This window comes from Homo sapiens, chromosome 7, assembly GCF_000001405.40.
Source record: "Homo sapiens chromosome 7, GRCh38.p14 Primary Assembly".
Taxonomy (NCBI): Eukaryota; Metazoa; Chordata; class Mammalia; order Primates; family Hominidae; genus Homo; species Homo sapiens.
In genome coordinates, this window is record NC_000007.14 from 25,483,134 (window position 1) to 25,500,163 (window position 17,030).

General features: G+C 39.8%; 1 long non-coding RNA gene across 1 annotated transcript, besides 2 other annotated features; it reads right to left on the reverse strand.

The window, feature by feature from the left end:
• Positions 1–4,009: 4,009 nt before the first annotated feature.
• On the reverse strand, positions 4,010–13,608 carry LOC105375196 (uncharacterized). Its single transcript, XR_927106.2, has 3 exons — positions 13,466–13,608; positions 9,681–9,757; positions 4,010–4,213 (listed from the first exon to the last, which is right to left on the reverse strand). It is a non-coding gene; the product is annotated as an uncharacterized LOC105375196 (long non-coding RNA).
• Positions 10,855–14,128: an enhancer, noted in NCBI's record as "VISTA enhancer hs1677". NCBI's record gives its function as "enhancer in: neural tube[6/6] | hindbrain (rhombencephalon)[6/6] | midbrain (mesencephalon)[3/6]" and the evidence as "EXISTENCE:transgenic organism evidence [ECO:0001131][PMID:17130149]".
• Positions 13,496–13,635: an enhancer, noted in NCBI's record as "active region_25769". NCBI's record gives its function as "activates an Ori minimal core promoter by ATAC-STARR-seq in GM12878 lymphoblastoid cells {active_cell/tissue: GM12878}" and the evidence as "EXISTENCE:reporter gene assay evidence [ECO:0000049][PMID:35858748]".

Sequence of the window (17,030 nt, forward strand, 5' to 3'; positions counted from 1 at the left end):
ACAACTCAGTTTCCTTATCTTTAAAATGGAGATAATAGCAGTAATTACTACTTAGAGGTGGGATGGGAATAAAATGAGTTAATACACAGGATGTACTGAGAACAGTACTTGGCATATTGCAAGCATTCTGTGAGTGTTTATTAGATACAAGTACACACGTAAGGGCTGAAAGTGGGACTAGGGGAGGAAGGGTGTTCAGATGGAGAAGTTGGGAAACGCAAATGCGAGGAACAGGGAAGGTGTGAGGGCTGCACAGGGACCAGAGAGCAGATGGTTGTGGCAGAGTGTGCATGAAGAGAGGCGTAGGAGATTCGGCTGAAGAGGCACACAGGGGCCTGAGCTTGCAGACTTGCTTCTGTAGGCAGCAGGACCTGGCTTGAGCTGTGCTTCAGGAAGATCACTGTTGTGAGCACGTAGAATGGATGGGAGAGGGCAGAGATGGGAACCAGGAAGGCCAGAGAGAAGGATTTCGCAAAACATGGTGGAGTTTAGTGACCGTCTCCTTAGGACAGCGAGAGAAAGCATGGAGAGAAAGGGCTGCTGCATGAGGGAAATGGAAGTAAAATCCTACAGGCCTGCGGCCTGATTGAGTTGGGATGGGGTCAGGGGAGAAGAAAGGTTGGAGGGGAGACAAGAATAAGGTTGAGGATTCAAGTCTTGTTGAAGATAAGAAGTTAGCTTTTAGACACATAGAGGATGAAAGTTATGAGGACAGTTTGTAATATTACCTTGCTTGAAAGTACATCAATTAAGGATTCCTTGTTCCTTAGAAAAGCAACCTGGGGGACAGGTGTTAAGATGCTACCTGTCATTTCCCCACGATGTGAATATTGTCACTCAGATTTCTTTCCAAACTCCAAAAAAGATCAGCTGCACTGAAGATTGTTATTCTTATTATTATTATACTTTAAGTTCTGGGAGTTGAACAATGAGAACACATGGACACCAAGAGGGGAACATCACACACTGGGGCCTGTCAGGGGGTGGGGGACTAGGGGAGGGATAGCATTAGGAGAAATACTTAATGTAGACGATGGGTTGATGGGTGCAGCAAACCATCATGGCACATGTATACCTATGTAACAAACCTGCACGTTCTGCACATGTATCCCAGAACTGAAGATGTTTTAATCAGGGGAATGAGAAGGGAGCCAGGTGGCCTGAGAGCATGCTGGTGTGGTGTGAAGGGGAAAGCAGGTGCTAGTGGGAGATTAAGAGCTGAAATCTGAGAGAAGAGAGCAAGGGCATGGAATACAGGTGCAGAATGGGAAGTGGGACCGTGTCATCTTCCTAAAATATCAACCTTTTATGTGTCCAGTATATTACCGAGTGAAATCAAGAATATTACAAAACAATGTACAATAGAATATTTTTATTTAAAAAAATCTATTCCCTACTATGGAGACATAAAAAAGAATGAGATCATGTCCTTTGCATGGGCATGGTTGGAACTGGAGGTCTTATTTTTAGCTAACTAACGCAGAAGCAGAAAACCAAATACCACATGTTCTCACTTATACGTGGGAGCTAAATGATGAGAATACATGGACACATAGAGGAGAACAACACACTGGGGCTTACTGCAGGGTGGAGGGTGGGTGAAAGGAGAGGATCAGAAAAAATAACTAATGGGTTGTAGGCTTAGTACTGGGGTGATAAAATCATCTGTACTACAAACCCTTGTGACATGAGTTTATCTATATAACAAACATGCACATGTACCCCTGAACCTAAAATAAAAGTTTAAAAAATGTAAAAAGTATGTATTCTCAAGCTTAGAAAAAATACTAGGTTATATACCTAATGTTATCAGTGATGAGATTATGGGTGATTAAAATTTATTTCCTTTGTTTCCTGAGTTTTTCTGCATTGAGCACATATTAGTTTCCTTATGTAAATATTAAATACTATGATAAGGGAGAAAGAGTGGGAGAAAGGAAACATCCCTGGCATATAGAGCTCAGAGTCTTTACACACACAGAAAGACATCACACACACAATTTATGCTATTGTTTTGTGACATTTAGAACATATAGTCTAATAAAAACAGATGTGCAAACAATTTTTTGGCAAGCAACACATTCAAAGATTGGGGCTGCCTGTAGCTGATTACATCGCTGGTGTGTCAGAAATAGTGTTTTAAGTTCAAAATGCTTGCTAACAGAAATCATTACAATACACAGGCTAGTTTGGAGAGAAATAGCCTAAAATTTGGATACATTTAAAAGAAAATGTTTCAATGTGTTTATATTCCAACTTAGCCTCAAAGAGGCAACCTTTCAACTTAAGAGTCATTTTGGACAACTGTTCTTGAAATTGTCTTGTATATAAGACCCAATTAACGGAGACTATTGAAAAATGTTACTTTTTTCTTGTAACCAGACTATGTAGCAAGTAAGAACCCTTGAAGTGATTTAGCAAAAAATTAATCTTCAGGCCCTTTTAATATAGAACTTACCTGTTTTGTTTTTCTTTCTTTATTGGATTCCTGAGAAAGGAAGGCTGCCAAGTATTTCCTTCAAGGAAGGTTTGAGGACCCAGTCCTGTCTGCCTCTAGCCAAGAAGAATTTTATTTTGGTTGCTGAAAATTCAAGGAGATTGGCGTTTGCAGGAAAAAGAAGTGGCTTATAAATGTTGTAGGTGACAAACGTCCAGAAAAAAAATGACTAAGGAAGTAGCACCATAGGTATAGGTGTTTCCCAAGCATGGCCTTGAAGGGACAAAGCAAAAGGGGTCAGTGGTCTTCTCAGGGGCAACCAGAATGGCCATGCTATAAGTAACCATTTCCTACTTCTTTACCCTGCCCCCAAGACTTGGTCCTGCTTAAGACCCTGGAACCTAGAAATAGCCCAAGTTAGAAAAGAAGTCCTGAGCATGACTGAAGTTACATTTCCAATGTATCCCGGCAGGATGGGGACTTGAAGTTGAACTTAGGTAATATCATACATAATATGATATTTCTTGTGCACCTGAGTTTAAGGACTGTCAAAACCCAGTACAATTCTAACTAAAAGGATGGTCCGATGATTCCCTCTTTGAAACATGCACACATTTTGTGAAGATACAAAACAGTGGGAATGTGGTGTAACCAATTCATGACTGAGGCACTCATTCTCCCAGAAGCAGAGAGGATTGGTTGCTAAAAGTTCACAATTGTGATCCTTTCTGAGAACTGCCCTCTGCCAAAGGAAGCAGCCTTGCCCCTCCCCAGAGGTGGCCTGAGTCTCATAATTTATTCATGCAGGGATACAAAGGCGCAGCCCCTTGCCTCAATTTGTGACAATTCTGAAGGCCCATTGCAGCTCCAGAGCTCCCAGTAAGATTGGCTGAGTCCTCCATTGCAACTGCATTGCGGTACAACTTCTCCCTCTGCTTCTTCCTGCATCCTTCTCTTCCTTACAAATATTCTCAAGTTCATTCCCAAACAAACTGCCAGCATGCAAATCTCTGCCTCAAAGGCTGTGAGTCTGTTTTCAGGAAACCCAACTTAGGACAATAAACTCCCCTAAGCTTTTCCCATGAAACAAGCACAATAATTTCAATTTTGCCCAAACATCGATACCTTGTACATTCAGACACCTAATTTTTGTGATTGCTTAAAAGAAGTGGATTTTGTTATAACTTTTTCTCCAATGAGAGCATTCATAGAATGTTTTAAGAATCAAGAATTGCTAGGAAAGTACAAATTGTAGGGCATTCCAGAATTTCCTTCTCTGATGGACACAAGCCAGAATTGCATTCCAGAAGCTCATTTTTAACATATGGTAGTTGCCATCGACAAAACAACTGTCAAACATCACAGAAATGGAAGATATAAATGAACAAATAAGATGCTGATTTATAATGTTTTTATATATCCCTATAGAACAAAAGGGATCATGTTTTCATCAGATGGTCTTTGAGGTCAGTATGGAAATCTGCTCCATGACTCTGGGATGATACAAAGCCAGACTTTTCCCGTGCTGAACCCACTAGGGAAAGAAATAGGAAGGCATAAAAAGAGAGAAAGTAGTAAGCAATCACTTAGTTGTGATTCTGTATAGGTAAATGCTAATTATGTTCCTTATTTCCCCAAATGCCTTCTAACTGGGAGGATTATGGCCATAGGACTGAAGGTGTTGAATGAGGAGGGAGATGTCTATTTTCTCTCCAGAACTTTTGTTGTTGAATCATCCCTTCATCACTGCTACCAATATTCACCAACAGATGAGATCTAGGAATACAAATTAAGACAAAAAAATAGAAAATAGAAAAAAATTAAAGAATTTTTTAAAATTAAAAAAGCTTAAATGGTGCACATATTTCACCCTCACTCATTAAGACTGATAAAAATATTATAATCAATTCAGTTGTAAAGCTACATATTGAACCTCTAAAATATTAAATGTAAAGATCAAATCTAGAATTATTAGAGACTGATCTTGAGAGAGGCAGAAAGAGTTTGAAACATTTTTTTTTAACTGAAAGACCATTATAAGGATTTTTCCCCCTGCAAAAAGCAAGTTCTCAGTGCTGTGTATTTTGTTTGTTCACATTTGAACTAAGGTAAGTGAATATAGTTAAGATGGTACATTGGCCTCTTCAGAACAATATGTTACTTTAAGGAGAGAAGCCCAGATTTTAATTGGGGTAACCAAACCCTCGTCTAGTTTGAACTAGACCAAGATACCTGACATTAAATGATTTGCTTTGTAAAATCAACAAATTAACTAATTGTAATTTACATTGTTGGTGTCATCAGCTGGATATAATTTCCTACGTGTGCCCAAAGTAACTCTACAACTGCCAAAGGCTTCAGAAGGCAGTCTGGGTTGCCCAAATGCCACTGTTCAGCTTCCCAGGGTTATTGGAACAAAGGTATAATACTAATTTGACAACAGTTTTCTGTGTATGGGCATTTGTTTGTTTTTAAGAAAAGATTTAACAGGAAGAAACAAAGGTTGAGAAAATCTAGAGAAAGAATGAACCCAGATTGTGGACTATAAACATTTGATTTCTTTGATGTAACTTACAACGCTTGGCAAAGAGATAAGGAAAAAACTCCAAGTGCTTCATGAATATAGAAATAGAAAAAAGAATGCAGATACCCATTCAGTTTGGGGACTATTATAAACGGAATTGGTCTCCCCCAAATTCATATATTTAAGCCCTAATCCTAATGTGACTATATTTGGAGATAGTGCCTTTAAGAATGTGATTAAGATTAAATGGGGTCATTAAGGGTTCAGACCTAATCTGCTAGGACTGATGTTCTTGTAAGAAGAGGAAAAGATACCAGAGACCTCTCTCTCTCTCTCTCTCTCTCTCTCTCCCTCCCTCCATCTCTATCTGTCTCCCTCCATGCTGCTCAGAGGAAAGGCCATGTGAGGATATTGAGAAGGCAGACATCTGTAAACCAGGAAGACAGGTGTCAACAGAAACCAACCCTGCTGGCACCTTCATCTTGAACTTCTAGCCTCCCCATAGTGAAAAAATAAATTTCTGTTGTTTAAGCCCCTCAGTCTGTGGGATTTTGTTATGGCATCTCAAGCAGACAAATACAGGGACATTGGTGATAAGTTTCAGGAGTTTTTCAGTGCACTAGAAAGACCTTGATGAGTAGGTATAGGGATAACTTCACCCCTTCCCATACTTTTCATCTGCTGCCACTTTTTAAAGTTTTGGCATCTTTCAAGTGTTTTCATTTTCCTCATTAGGTTTTGGCACCTCATTTCTTCCTCTCTCTCTCTCTCCTTCTTTCTTTCCTTCCCTTCTACTTTTTCCATATTTCTTGGTGGCAGTTAGGAATAAATTGTGGGAGGCAACTTCACATGCTGCCTTAAGCCAGAATTCACCCAGTTATCAATTAAAAGAAAATATACTTAGTACTTAACTACGTGCAAGTTCTGTACCAGGTTCCTGTTAGAAACAAAAGGGTATAGGTCCTCTAGACATGTGTTATGTTCCTCTTCAGGCTCCCAATAAAAGAATGAATGGCTCTTAATTACATGATCAATGATTTTACCCCTTGAATGAACAGAATTACGGTTAAGTGCATTGCAGATGCAAAAAAACAATATTCTTCCATTTGTTTTTAAGTGATGAGTATGAGTTGGCAGGTTTTTAAATTTATTAAAAAATATTTGGTGAATAAGACACAGACATTTGATTGAAAGCTCCCGGTTTTTAAAGAATCTCCTTCCCTGTAACTCTCCTCTTCTCTTGCTTAGAAAGCAAGTCAGGAAGCTGTGGCCTACCTGACACTCATTTAGTGAGATACCAATTCAATTCATCTTGGAATCAGCATCTAAATATTCACTTTTATTTTGGTCAACCTGGGTTGGGACATGTGTATTTCCAAGGGGCAATGCTAACAAAATGCATGTTTAATGGCTTGGAATAACTACTAGTCAAAAGAATGAAGAGCAAGGGCCGGGCACCGAGGCTCTCACCCGTAATCTCAGCACTTTGGGAGGCTGAGACGGGCAGATCACAAGGTCAGGAGATCGAGACCATCCTGGCTAACACGGTGAAACCCCTTCTCTACTAAAAATGCAAAAAAAAAAATTAGCTGGGCGTGGTGGCGGGTGCCTGTAGTCCCAGCTACTCGGGAGGCTGAGGCAGGAGAATGGCGTGAACCCGGGAGGCGGAGCTTGCAGTGAGCCGAGATTGCGCCACTGCACTCCAGCCTGGGCGACAGAGAGAGACTCCGTCTCAAAAAAAAAAAAAAAAAAAAAAAAAAGGAAGAATGAAGAGCAAGTTAGCCCAGTTTACATTACAGGTTCACCTTTTTCAAGTATTTCCTTACTTACAGTAGATGAACCTGTAGCCTGAGACCATGCTGTTTGAGCTTCCTGTTCTGGAACAGCCATTTATGCAGCTCTTATGAATAATTAGGGAAAGCCCATTTTCCCATCACTAGCTGTTTTGCATCCAATATCCCTAGTCACCCTTCACTTATTCCGCATTCTGTTGTTACTGCTGTTTCTCTTTTCCCCATATTTTTCATGGTCTCCCATTCACAGAAAGACAATCGTCTGTGAAGGGGTGGGGTACTCCAGCAAACGAACTGAGAATCAGGAGTCCCGGGTTCTGATGCTGCTTTGGCCACATCACTTTACTTGCTCTTAGCTTTGTCTCCTCATCTGCAAAGCAAAAGCATGGGATAATTCCCTCTCCTAGCACCAAAATTAATATTATATTTCAGAAAAGCATTATCCTATGGCTTATATATAGTTAAATACTTAAGGATGAAGATGGGGAAAAAGTGATTTTTTAGAGCTCCATAATTACTTTGTTGGTCGGTCTGAAGACCACTCCTAGGTTCAGTGATTCTCTAGGAGGACTCACAGAGCTCAGCATAGAGTCAGATTATGGCAATGATTACTCCATTGAAAGGAAACCAAGAACTGGATGAGGTAGTGCATGCCTGTGGTCCCAGCTACTTGGGAGGCTGAGGCAGGAGGATTACTTGAGGCCAGGAGTTTGAAGCTGTGGTACTCTATGATTGCACATGTGAATAGCCACTGCCCTCCAGCCTGGGCAACATGACAGGACCCAGTCTCTAAAAAGGAAAAAAAAGAAAGAAAGAAAGAAAAGAAACCAAGCATATTCAGCCAAAGAAAAAGGCACATGGGCAAGGTCCTGGGGCAACCAGGCACAAGCTTCCAGAGGTCCTTTCTTACTCAAAGGAGTCACACAGAATACACTTCATTCTCTCAGCCTACCTTCGGAGGACATAGCCTAACATTTGGATACATTTAACAGAAGCTGTCAAAGAAAAAAGTTGTGACAACACGTGTGAAATGTTGTCACTCAGGGAAGCTTGCCCCCAGAGTTTTTACTGGTGGATGGCCACATAAGCAGCCTCTGCCTAGCACAGACTCAAATGCCAGCTTCTCAGGAAGAAAGCAGGTGTTCCACATAAACCATAGTATTTGTACAAATAGTTTAAACATAGTGGGCCACTCTTATCAGTTAATCCTGGTGGGAACCCTCCTGAAACCTAAATTCCAGACACCAGCCAAAGGCCAACCTTGTAAGCAGGCCTGTCAAAGGATAACAGTCAGACCTGCTGTTAACTCTTTTCTGCACGGTTATATAGCATGTTTATTTCTTAAATCACTCTAGGAATTGGCCACTTGCGTGCTGCTCTGAGGTGTGTACAAATTTGTATTAAAGGCGGGGCGCAGTGACTCACACCTGTAATCCCAGCACTTTGGGAGGCCAAGGTGGATGGATCACGGGGTCAGGAGATAGAGACCATCCTGGCCAACATGGTGAAACCCTTCTTTACTAAAAATACAAAAATTAACCGGGTGTTGTGGCGCGCACCTATAGTCCCAGCTACTCGGGAGGCTGAGGCAGGAGAATCCCTTGAACACTGGAGGCAGAGCTTGCAGTGAGCCAAGATCCAGCCACTGCACTTCAGCCTGGCGACTATAAAAGACCTTCAAAAGACCCTATCTTTGTACATTAGAGGACTATTCTCTTTTCTAATAAAAGTATAAAATAAGTAAAAAATTGTATTAAAATAATATTTTCCAAACAAATTTAATTTTTTTCCCATTAGTAAAGTGGCATTTCCCCTTAAGAAAACTTAGAAAGTAAAAAAGTAGAAAGAATAAAAACATTATAAATAGTAGCAGTTTCTAAAAATAATTACCTCTAGACCGTCTTTCAGATATTTGAGCATGATTATCACAATCCCTATTTAAATGATATTCTGTTGTTCTCATTTTTATCTTACAGAAAATTTTTCATATTATCTGAAAACATTTTGCAGACATCATTTGTAATGACTATAATTAATTGTATCATAATTTATACTATGATGAATTTCCCTTTGTCATTTAAAAATATTATTAGTAATCTTGTAATGAACATCTTCATGCACAAAACTCTTTATGTATTTAGAATTATTTCTTACGATAGATTCTCAGAAATTGATTTACTTACCCAAAGGCTATGAACTTTTTAAAGGCTTTTGTCATCGCTCACTAATGGATCTCCCAGAGTTATAAAATTTGGGTATTCACTAAGAAAAGTATTTCTCTAAAGTGAAATGATGTTCTCATGTGTTTTTCTTCCAGTGCATTTCAATAATATTTTTCCCGTTTGTTTTTTTTGCCCTCCCATAACATTGGCCTCCATGTTATCTAATCATCCCACTGCTAGGATGTGCTTTGGGCAAAGGCAAAACATTCATAAGTCTCTTAAAAAGCAAGACTGTCACCTGGGAATCCGCATCATGTCTTATCACAGATTAATTCACCTGTTTCCTGAGCAAATGGGGTACAAGTTCTCCAGGTTTGGACTGGGAGACAAAGGAGGGGGTGGAGAGGGGGACCAGAAGGAGCTGGGGTGCTGAAATATCCTTGGTAGGGTGGCCGTATGGTGCGGCATGCAGCTAGGCCATGGGTAGATGTGAGAGAGTGACAAATGGGTTCCAAAATACGAGGTGTGAAATGATACTAAAAGATCCAATCTAATCTTTGTTATAGTCTTGCTCAAGAACAGCTTCCACCCACAGAAGCACCAGAGGTCATGTAGCTCAAAGAAACCAGGGTTAGAGCAGGACAGCTTAGACTGCAGTGCTCGTGCCGCTGTCTGCTAACTGAGAGGCTGGAGCACATCACCTAGTTCCTGCTCCTCAGGCCTCTCTTTGGTAAAAGGGGGATAATAGGACATACTCAACCTACCTTACAAGGCTGCTGGGAATCAAGTCCAATTCTGGTAATCAACGATCAGGAAATCATTCACTCTTCACACACAGTGCCTGGTACATGGGATGTATGAATCAGTGATTATTGAAATTAATAGAAATGGTAGGAGAGAAAATCCCTTATGAACTTTCAGAGTGGTAGAAAAAAGAAGAGTCTTCACTCCATCCTCAGCTCAGTCTGAAACATCAGGCAAACATAAGATTCTAAAAATTGTGGTTTTTAAACAATAACAATTAGTGTTCTGTTTTCTGTTGCTAAGAATCAAATCAAAACTTATTCCACTGGCAATAATCTAGTTTCATTGTGGTGAGAATATTTTAATTATGAGGCAGTCCTACTGTGCTCTAATATTTGCTCTGTTGGTTTTTTTAAATCAAAAACTCATATATTAAAATGAACTGCTAAAACAAAAATCTCTTAATGAATTAACAATAATTAAGTTTAGCCAGATAGTGTGCTCCCTGATAGTGAGTGTGTGTGTGCGTGTGTGTGTGAGTGTGTAAGGTTTCCTGCAATTATAAAAGTTTTACATATACAATTTAGGAAATATAAAACAATATAAAGAACCAAAATCTTATTGCTCAAAAGCAACCATCATTAATAATTACCACTACTTTCTCCAGTATTTTCTTTTATTCCGTTTTTAAAATCACCATTTGTTCTTTAGGCTACATAGTGAAATAGAAATGTTATTTTAGAGCATACAGAACTTACTAAAATTTTGCCTCTGCCACTTGCTAGCTATGCCATCATGGGAAGATTACTTAGTTTCTCTGAGCCTCACTTTCCTCATCCATAAAATGTAAGTAATGATATCTACTTTCCAAATCAGGATTCATCAAAAATAACATGCACAGATAATTAAAGTGCACACAGATCAGTTCTCACAAACTGCAGTACATACAAAACTACAGACCATACCCAGAACACAAGCTAGAGTTCAAACTATTTAGAAACAACATAGCAAATAATTTGTATTTGTAATAGGTAATGATGCTTATGCACACTAACAGATGTGCATACAGGGATGTTTTCTGAGCAATGATAATTCTATCGTTAATATTCAATACAACAATAAGGTCTGACAGAATCACCTTCATGCTGACCTGCTGGAGGTCAGAAAGGCTCAGCTGTCTTCACATAAGGAAGAGGCTGCGTGACTATGAATGACGTCGTCTCACCAGTGCTTGGGGCATGTTAGAAACATAAATTTTATTTATTTATTCTCTGCTTCCTTTCAAGAGGATTAGAGAGTATAGAGGTGCCAATACAGTTTAAAATAAGACACACAGAGAGGATCCCATCAAACCGAACCACCCCTCATACTGATTGAGCACCTACTGTGTGCTAGAGCACTCTGCAGGTGACTGGAGGTAACGGGATAAAGGAGGCCACTCTCCCCAGGAGCTCCCAGGTTGGGAAATCGTTTCTCAAAGTATGATCCAAAGACCCCTCCTGATCCCTCATATAGAATCACCTACAGTGCTTCTGAAAAATGAAGAAAAAAAAAAGAAGATTGCTGATCCCCGACTGGGAGTCTCTCCTAATGCAGAATGTTTGGGCCTCTCAACCATTCACCACCTCTCCATTTCATGGTCATGAGTGCTGGGGTTTGAGAATTTTCAGAGGGGAAACAGGATTAGCAACAGTGAATTCTGAAGTGCTGTACCAGTGTAATGGTCTATTCAGCAGAAGCTTGGAGGTTAAGAATGGTGACTTTGGAAAGCAACAGACCTGGATTCAATTGCTGACTAGCTGAGACTGTGGTGGAGGCTTGCAGTCTCTCTGAGCCTGTTTTATCATTTGTCCAATGGGTTTAAAGTTACCTGCCTCCAAGTGGTGTTGCATTAAATAAGACACTGTTCTATAAGAAAATGCTTAACACATTGCCTCATTCATGGGAGGTACTTGAAATGCAGCGGCCATTGTTGTCATCAGTCACATCACAGTCTAGGTCCTACTTTGGCATCAATCAGATCCCAGGGACATAACACAGGTGTTCCCAAGGCCAAGGTCATCCCAGGCTTCAACAAAACCCTGACCCTGGAGCCTGGCCATTCACCTACAACAGCTAAGGGCTGAATTAACCAAGACTCATTTTTCCCAGCATGAAAAAAGAGGACATGCCCTCCTTCTTTGCCTCTTTTCCCTTGTCTCCCTTTTCTCTCTCAGAAAGAAAAGATGCACCACCCCAGGAAAACACAGTGGCAGAAACCTGTTACCAGTTTTGTCAGATCCCAAAATGGCAGATGGCCGCAGCCTGCAGCCTCTCACTGCATCCAAGATGTCTTCATCTATCTTCCTAGGACCCCAGCAAAATGTTTTTGGCAAAAGCAGGAGGAAGGGATAAAAATTAAGTATAAGGTGCTGCATTCATAGGGGCTTTTATGGGTCTGGATGTGTAATGATGGTTTAATGGCAATCAAGAGGCAGGTAATTAGGAACAAGCGGCTCTGATCACCCTTGTACACAGCCACAGATAGCTCCTCCACACTCCTGAAACCTTGTTTGCTTTCTCCGAGGCAGAAATCCCACAAGGTCTTCACGTTGCCAGCTGTCGAGCTAACGAACTGCCAGTGTGTTCTTGAATGGGAGCACTCAGCCTACCGAGGCTCCCCTGAGCAGCTTGCGCTGTCTTCACCATGTGATTGCTTTTATCTGGCCAGTGCAGGAGCTGCTCCTAATCACCCTGCTGTTTGCCTCCAAGGGTCAAACTGGGGACCATCACTACCTAAACAAATGAGGAGGATGTCACCTTTGGGGGAGACTGATAAGCAGTTGGCAGGCAGGCCACGGGCAAGAGAAGGCGCCAGCAGCCAGCAGTCTGCAAAGGCCGTAAATATGTTACACTCTCAGCAGGGAGATGGGCAATATAGGCACCAAGAGGCCTTTGTTTAATGAGCTGTCAGAAAGCAGGCATGAAATTATGTTTGAAAACATGTGCAAGCTGCAGAGACAGAGCGAGGGCCTATAAATGGCCCTCTTCCTTCATGCTGGATGTTTTGGAGCATCTTATCAGTCTGAGAACTGTCATAGGATGAAAGCTATCATTAGCAAACTAATGGTGTTTGAAAGCTACAAATTTTTCTATCTCTTCTCCATTTTTGACTTAAATGGATTATAGAAAAAAAATCTTAATGGTTTTTTTCTTTCCTTGGGATTTTGGTAAACATGCAAATTGGAAGAGAACCAAAAACAAACCGCAAAAAAAGTATCTCTGGAAGAACAAACCAAATGGTTATACTTAGAATCTCTGCTCAGAACAGTCAGCTGACATTCTTTTCAATTCTGTTGAGACTCTGTTCAGAGAAATCTAATGCAACTCCAGCCAGCATTTTATTTCAATCAGGCCCATAAAAGAAAGCATAAATATAAAATAGATTGTTCTCCTATAATCTGAGTATTAAAATTTGTGGGTAGGTATAATATCACTTCTACCACATCAGCTATCAAATAATAGAGAATAATTTTTCAAAGACTAGAAATTATTCTTGTGGGTCCCATGGTTGTGAAGTTTATTTCTATTCAGGGTGAAACCTAAAGATGTTTAAAAATCTGCCAGGACTGAGAGGCATCGCTGATTTAGGGCGTATTTGGGCCCCAATTCCCAAATTCTGAAAGGATGCATGAGGGCTTGGTTGCCATACATGGGTCTTTTTCCTTCAGTGCACCACAACCCTGCATTTCCTCCCTCTGATCAAACCAGGCAGCCAGAAATGACTTGCACAAACCACTTCCCCATTAAAAGGCCCAAGACTAACCATCTGAAGCTGATTCAGGAGAGGTCGCCAAATTAGCAGGGAATAGTCTCTTGAGACCCATCTTCTCCGCAGATTGAACAGTAGCAAGCTGCTCCCTTCCAGATTTGAGAAAAGAGGAAGATCTGAATAGGAAATAGGAAATAGCAAAGTTCCATTGAAAAGGTAAAGGGGTGAAGGTTAGAGAAACAGAAACTAAAAGACAAAGAAAAACAGGAAGAAAAAAAAATGGTGTTTGCCGTACACCATGCATCAATAACTGACATTCACAGGACACTTTGTTTTCCTGCCTTTTATGCTGGTCCCCTGTGTGTAGATGAGAAATACAAGGTACCTAAAGTCATCCAGCCGATACGTGAGCCAGCCATGGAGCCAGGGCTGGGAACCCAGGGCCCACGTCCCTCCCACGCGGGTTTATCATCTTTGAACGCATTCTGCAGGCCCTCTCTCTGAAGGCTGCGCATGGATTCTACGTGCAGATCCTGACACAATGTGGGTGCTCAGTCTGCATTTAATGGGGAAAGGAGAGCTTTAGTCCACAGAAGAGACAAGAGAAAATCAAGACAGAAACAAAATTGGAAGGAGTACAAGCATGGCTATTCTGTGTCCAGAATAGGGCCTGTGAGGCCATGTATTCCTTTTCAGTTTCCCAAGTGCAGAGAGGAAATCATCCTTTATTAGGGCTGAAACTACACAGTGGCTTGGGATTGTGGAGATTTCCTGAGGCTGTTCTGTGGAAGTTGGGATTCTTGATATCACTTTTAGTCTGGAAAAAAAATTTTTTAAACATTTATTCCAGTTCAATAAATATGGAACGCACTCTTATTAGATGCTGATGCTGTGCTAAGTACTGTGGGGAATGCCAAAACGTACATAACAGGATCTCACAGTCCTACCCTCCCATTCTCTCCATCCCCCAACCCTCCCTTCATCCACCTGCCACTCCCAGCTTCTTCCAGGAGTTCAGGCAAGGGAGAATGATGGTTTGCCAGAATTAAGATTTTTGTTCTTCAGCATCCCCAAGGACTTATATTTATTGAATGTCTACTCTGTGCAATAATCTCAGCAATACAAAAATATTCATATTGGTAATCTGTGCTTATTTATTTGAATTATTTTTTAATTTTTCACCATTCACATGGTTCAAAACTCTCTCCTGCACTTGTCCAGTCACCTAGTGCCCCTATCCAGAGACAAATAGTGTTATCAGTTTCTTAAGTATCATTCCAGACATTTTTCAATGTATATACAAGCAAATTTTTAGGATTTTTATGGCTTTAACTTTTTTGACATTTAAGCCTCTGATTTCCATTTGGTACATATTCTGGTGTGAGAAGTGAGGTATAGATGCACTTTAATTTTTTTCCATAATACTACCCAGTTATTCAAACATCATTTATTGTGTAATCTATTTGCTCCCCAATGATGGGAAATGCCACCTTAATCATATCCTAAAATCCTTAGGTATACATGCATCCTTTATGTCTATATTCTAAATTTCTGTATGTATTTTGGCCTATGTTAGGCTTCCTGTTTTGTTACATTGATTTGCTATTTATTTATATGTTAACATTATGCTGTTTTAATTATTGTAGCTTTATAATATGCTTTAATATCTGATAGGACTGATATTAGAACATTGCTATTCTTTTTCAAAATTTTTTTTAGAATTTTTAAGATATTATTTGTTTTTTACTTGAGGTTTGGAATTAGCCTGTCTTATCAAAAATTACTATTACTATTATATTGTAATTTATTAAATGTATAAATCAACTTAAGAAAAATTAACATATTGTTGAAGACATCAAGTCTTCCTTTGCCTTTCCATTTGTTGAAATCTTTTGTCTCAGGAACATTTTAAAGTTCTCTGTTTAAGTAGCATTTAAAGTTTATTTCTAAATATGTTATATTTGTTGGAACTCCTGTAAATGTGACTTTTTAAAATTACATCTTCTAACACTTTTTGATTGTTCTAATAACTTTTTATAAGCTTCTGTACGTTAGCTATGTGCCCAGTCATCTGTTACTGTTTGTAACAGGTTTAAATAAATACGTGGAGGTTTTCCAGGCAGGAAATTCTATCATCCACAAATAATGATAGTTTTATTTTCTTCTTTTCAGTATTTATATGTCCAGTTTCTTTATCTTGCATAATTATATCGTCATCTTCAGAAAAGTCTTACATAATAGTAGTGAAATTGAAATCCTAATATTCAATGTATTAATAAAACTTGAATGGATATTAAATTTTATCAAATGCCTTTTTAACATTTATGAGACTGATCATATGAATTTCTTCCTGGAATCTGTTAATATGGTGAATAAATTAATAGATATTCTAAAATTGAACTCTTTGCATTTTTGCAATAAAGCCCACTTGGCTCATTGTGGCAGAGACTTTTAGGAACTTTTTTCATGACTTCTATTTTCAAGATATTTAACAGTTTTAGTTTTTTACCCAAAAGTTACCCAAAACTTATTTAATGACAAGCTTTTAATATCTAGGCAGTAAGAACTTTTTGTTTTTATTATTAAGTCCCAGTTGTATTGCATTGTGACTTTTTCTAATTTTTGGAATATATTGAGAGTTTCTTCTCTCATAGATAACTATTTCACTAATGTATGGCTCCTGAAATCTCTAACACCTCTCCTCTATCTTCATTTTTAGGTGATGAGCTTGTTTCCCACTTCACTGGAAAACAAAATGGGAATATTCAGAAGATAAGTTCCACAGCTCCCATAGCATCTTCCTATCTACCAGGATTTGGACCTTCTACACCCTGCTCCCATTAAGGAATTAGCCTTGCTCTTGTCCAAAACTAGCCTTTGCGTATGCCTTAGATCCTATCCCCCTTGCTTGCTCACAGGCTTTGCTCCAGCAATTCTCCCTATTTTTCCCCTATACCATCAGCTTCCTCTCTCTACTAGGTCATTTCCACCAGCACACAACAATACTGTCTCTCTCATCTTAGAAATGGAAACTAACAAAATTGAGTTCACTTTTCCTTCTGACACTATCCCTTTTCTACCTCCCCCACTTTACAGCAAAACTCTTTGAAAGCTGCCTGAATTTCACTGCTTCCATTTCCTCTCCTCTTCTCACTTAAACCTACTGCTGCCAGAACCGGGACTCCACCACCTCACCAGACCCCTGCTTGTCAATATCATCAATGACTTCCATCTTGCTAAATCCATTTCTTGTCCCCATTGAACTTGACCCTCAGTAACACCTTGTCAAATTAACCACTCCCTTCTCATGGAAATGATTTCTTGTTTTCTAAGACACTACACATTTCGTTTTCCTTCAACACCCCTGGATGCTGCTTCCCAGTCTTGTCCCTTAACCTCCTAGCACTGAAGTGATGCAGGGCTCAGTCCACAGATCTCTTCATCTTTCCTGTTCACTCCATACTCACCCTCTTGGTAATTCCCTTCCAGTTTCATCGTTTAAATGGCATCTGTCTGCAAATGATTATCAAATGTATGCCTCCAGCCATGGCCACTGCTCTCAACGTTAGCTTATCCATCTAACTGTCAACTCTGTATCTCTACCTGGACGCCTGATGGA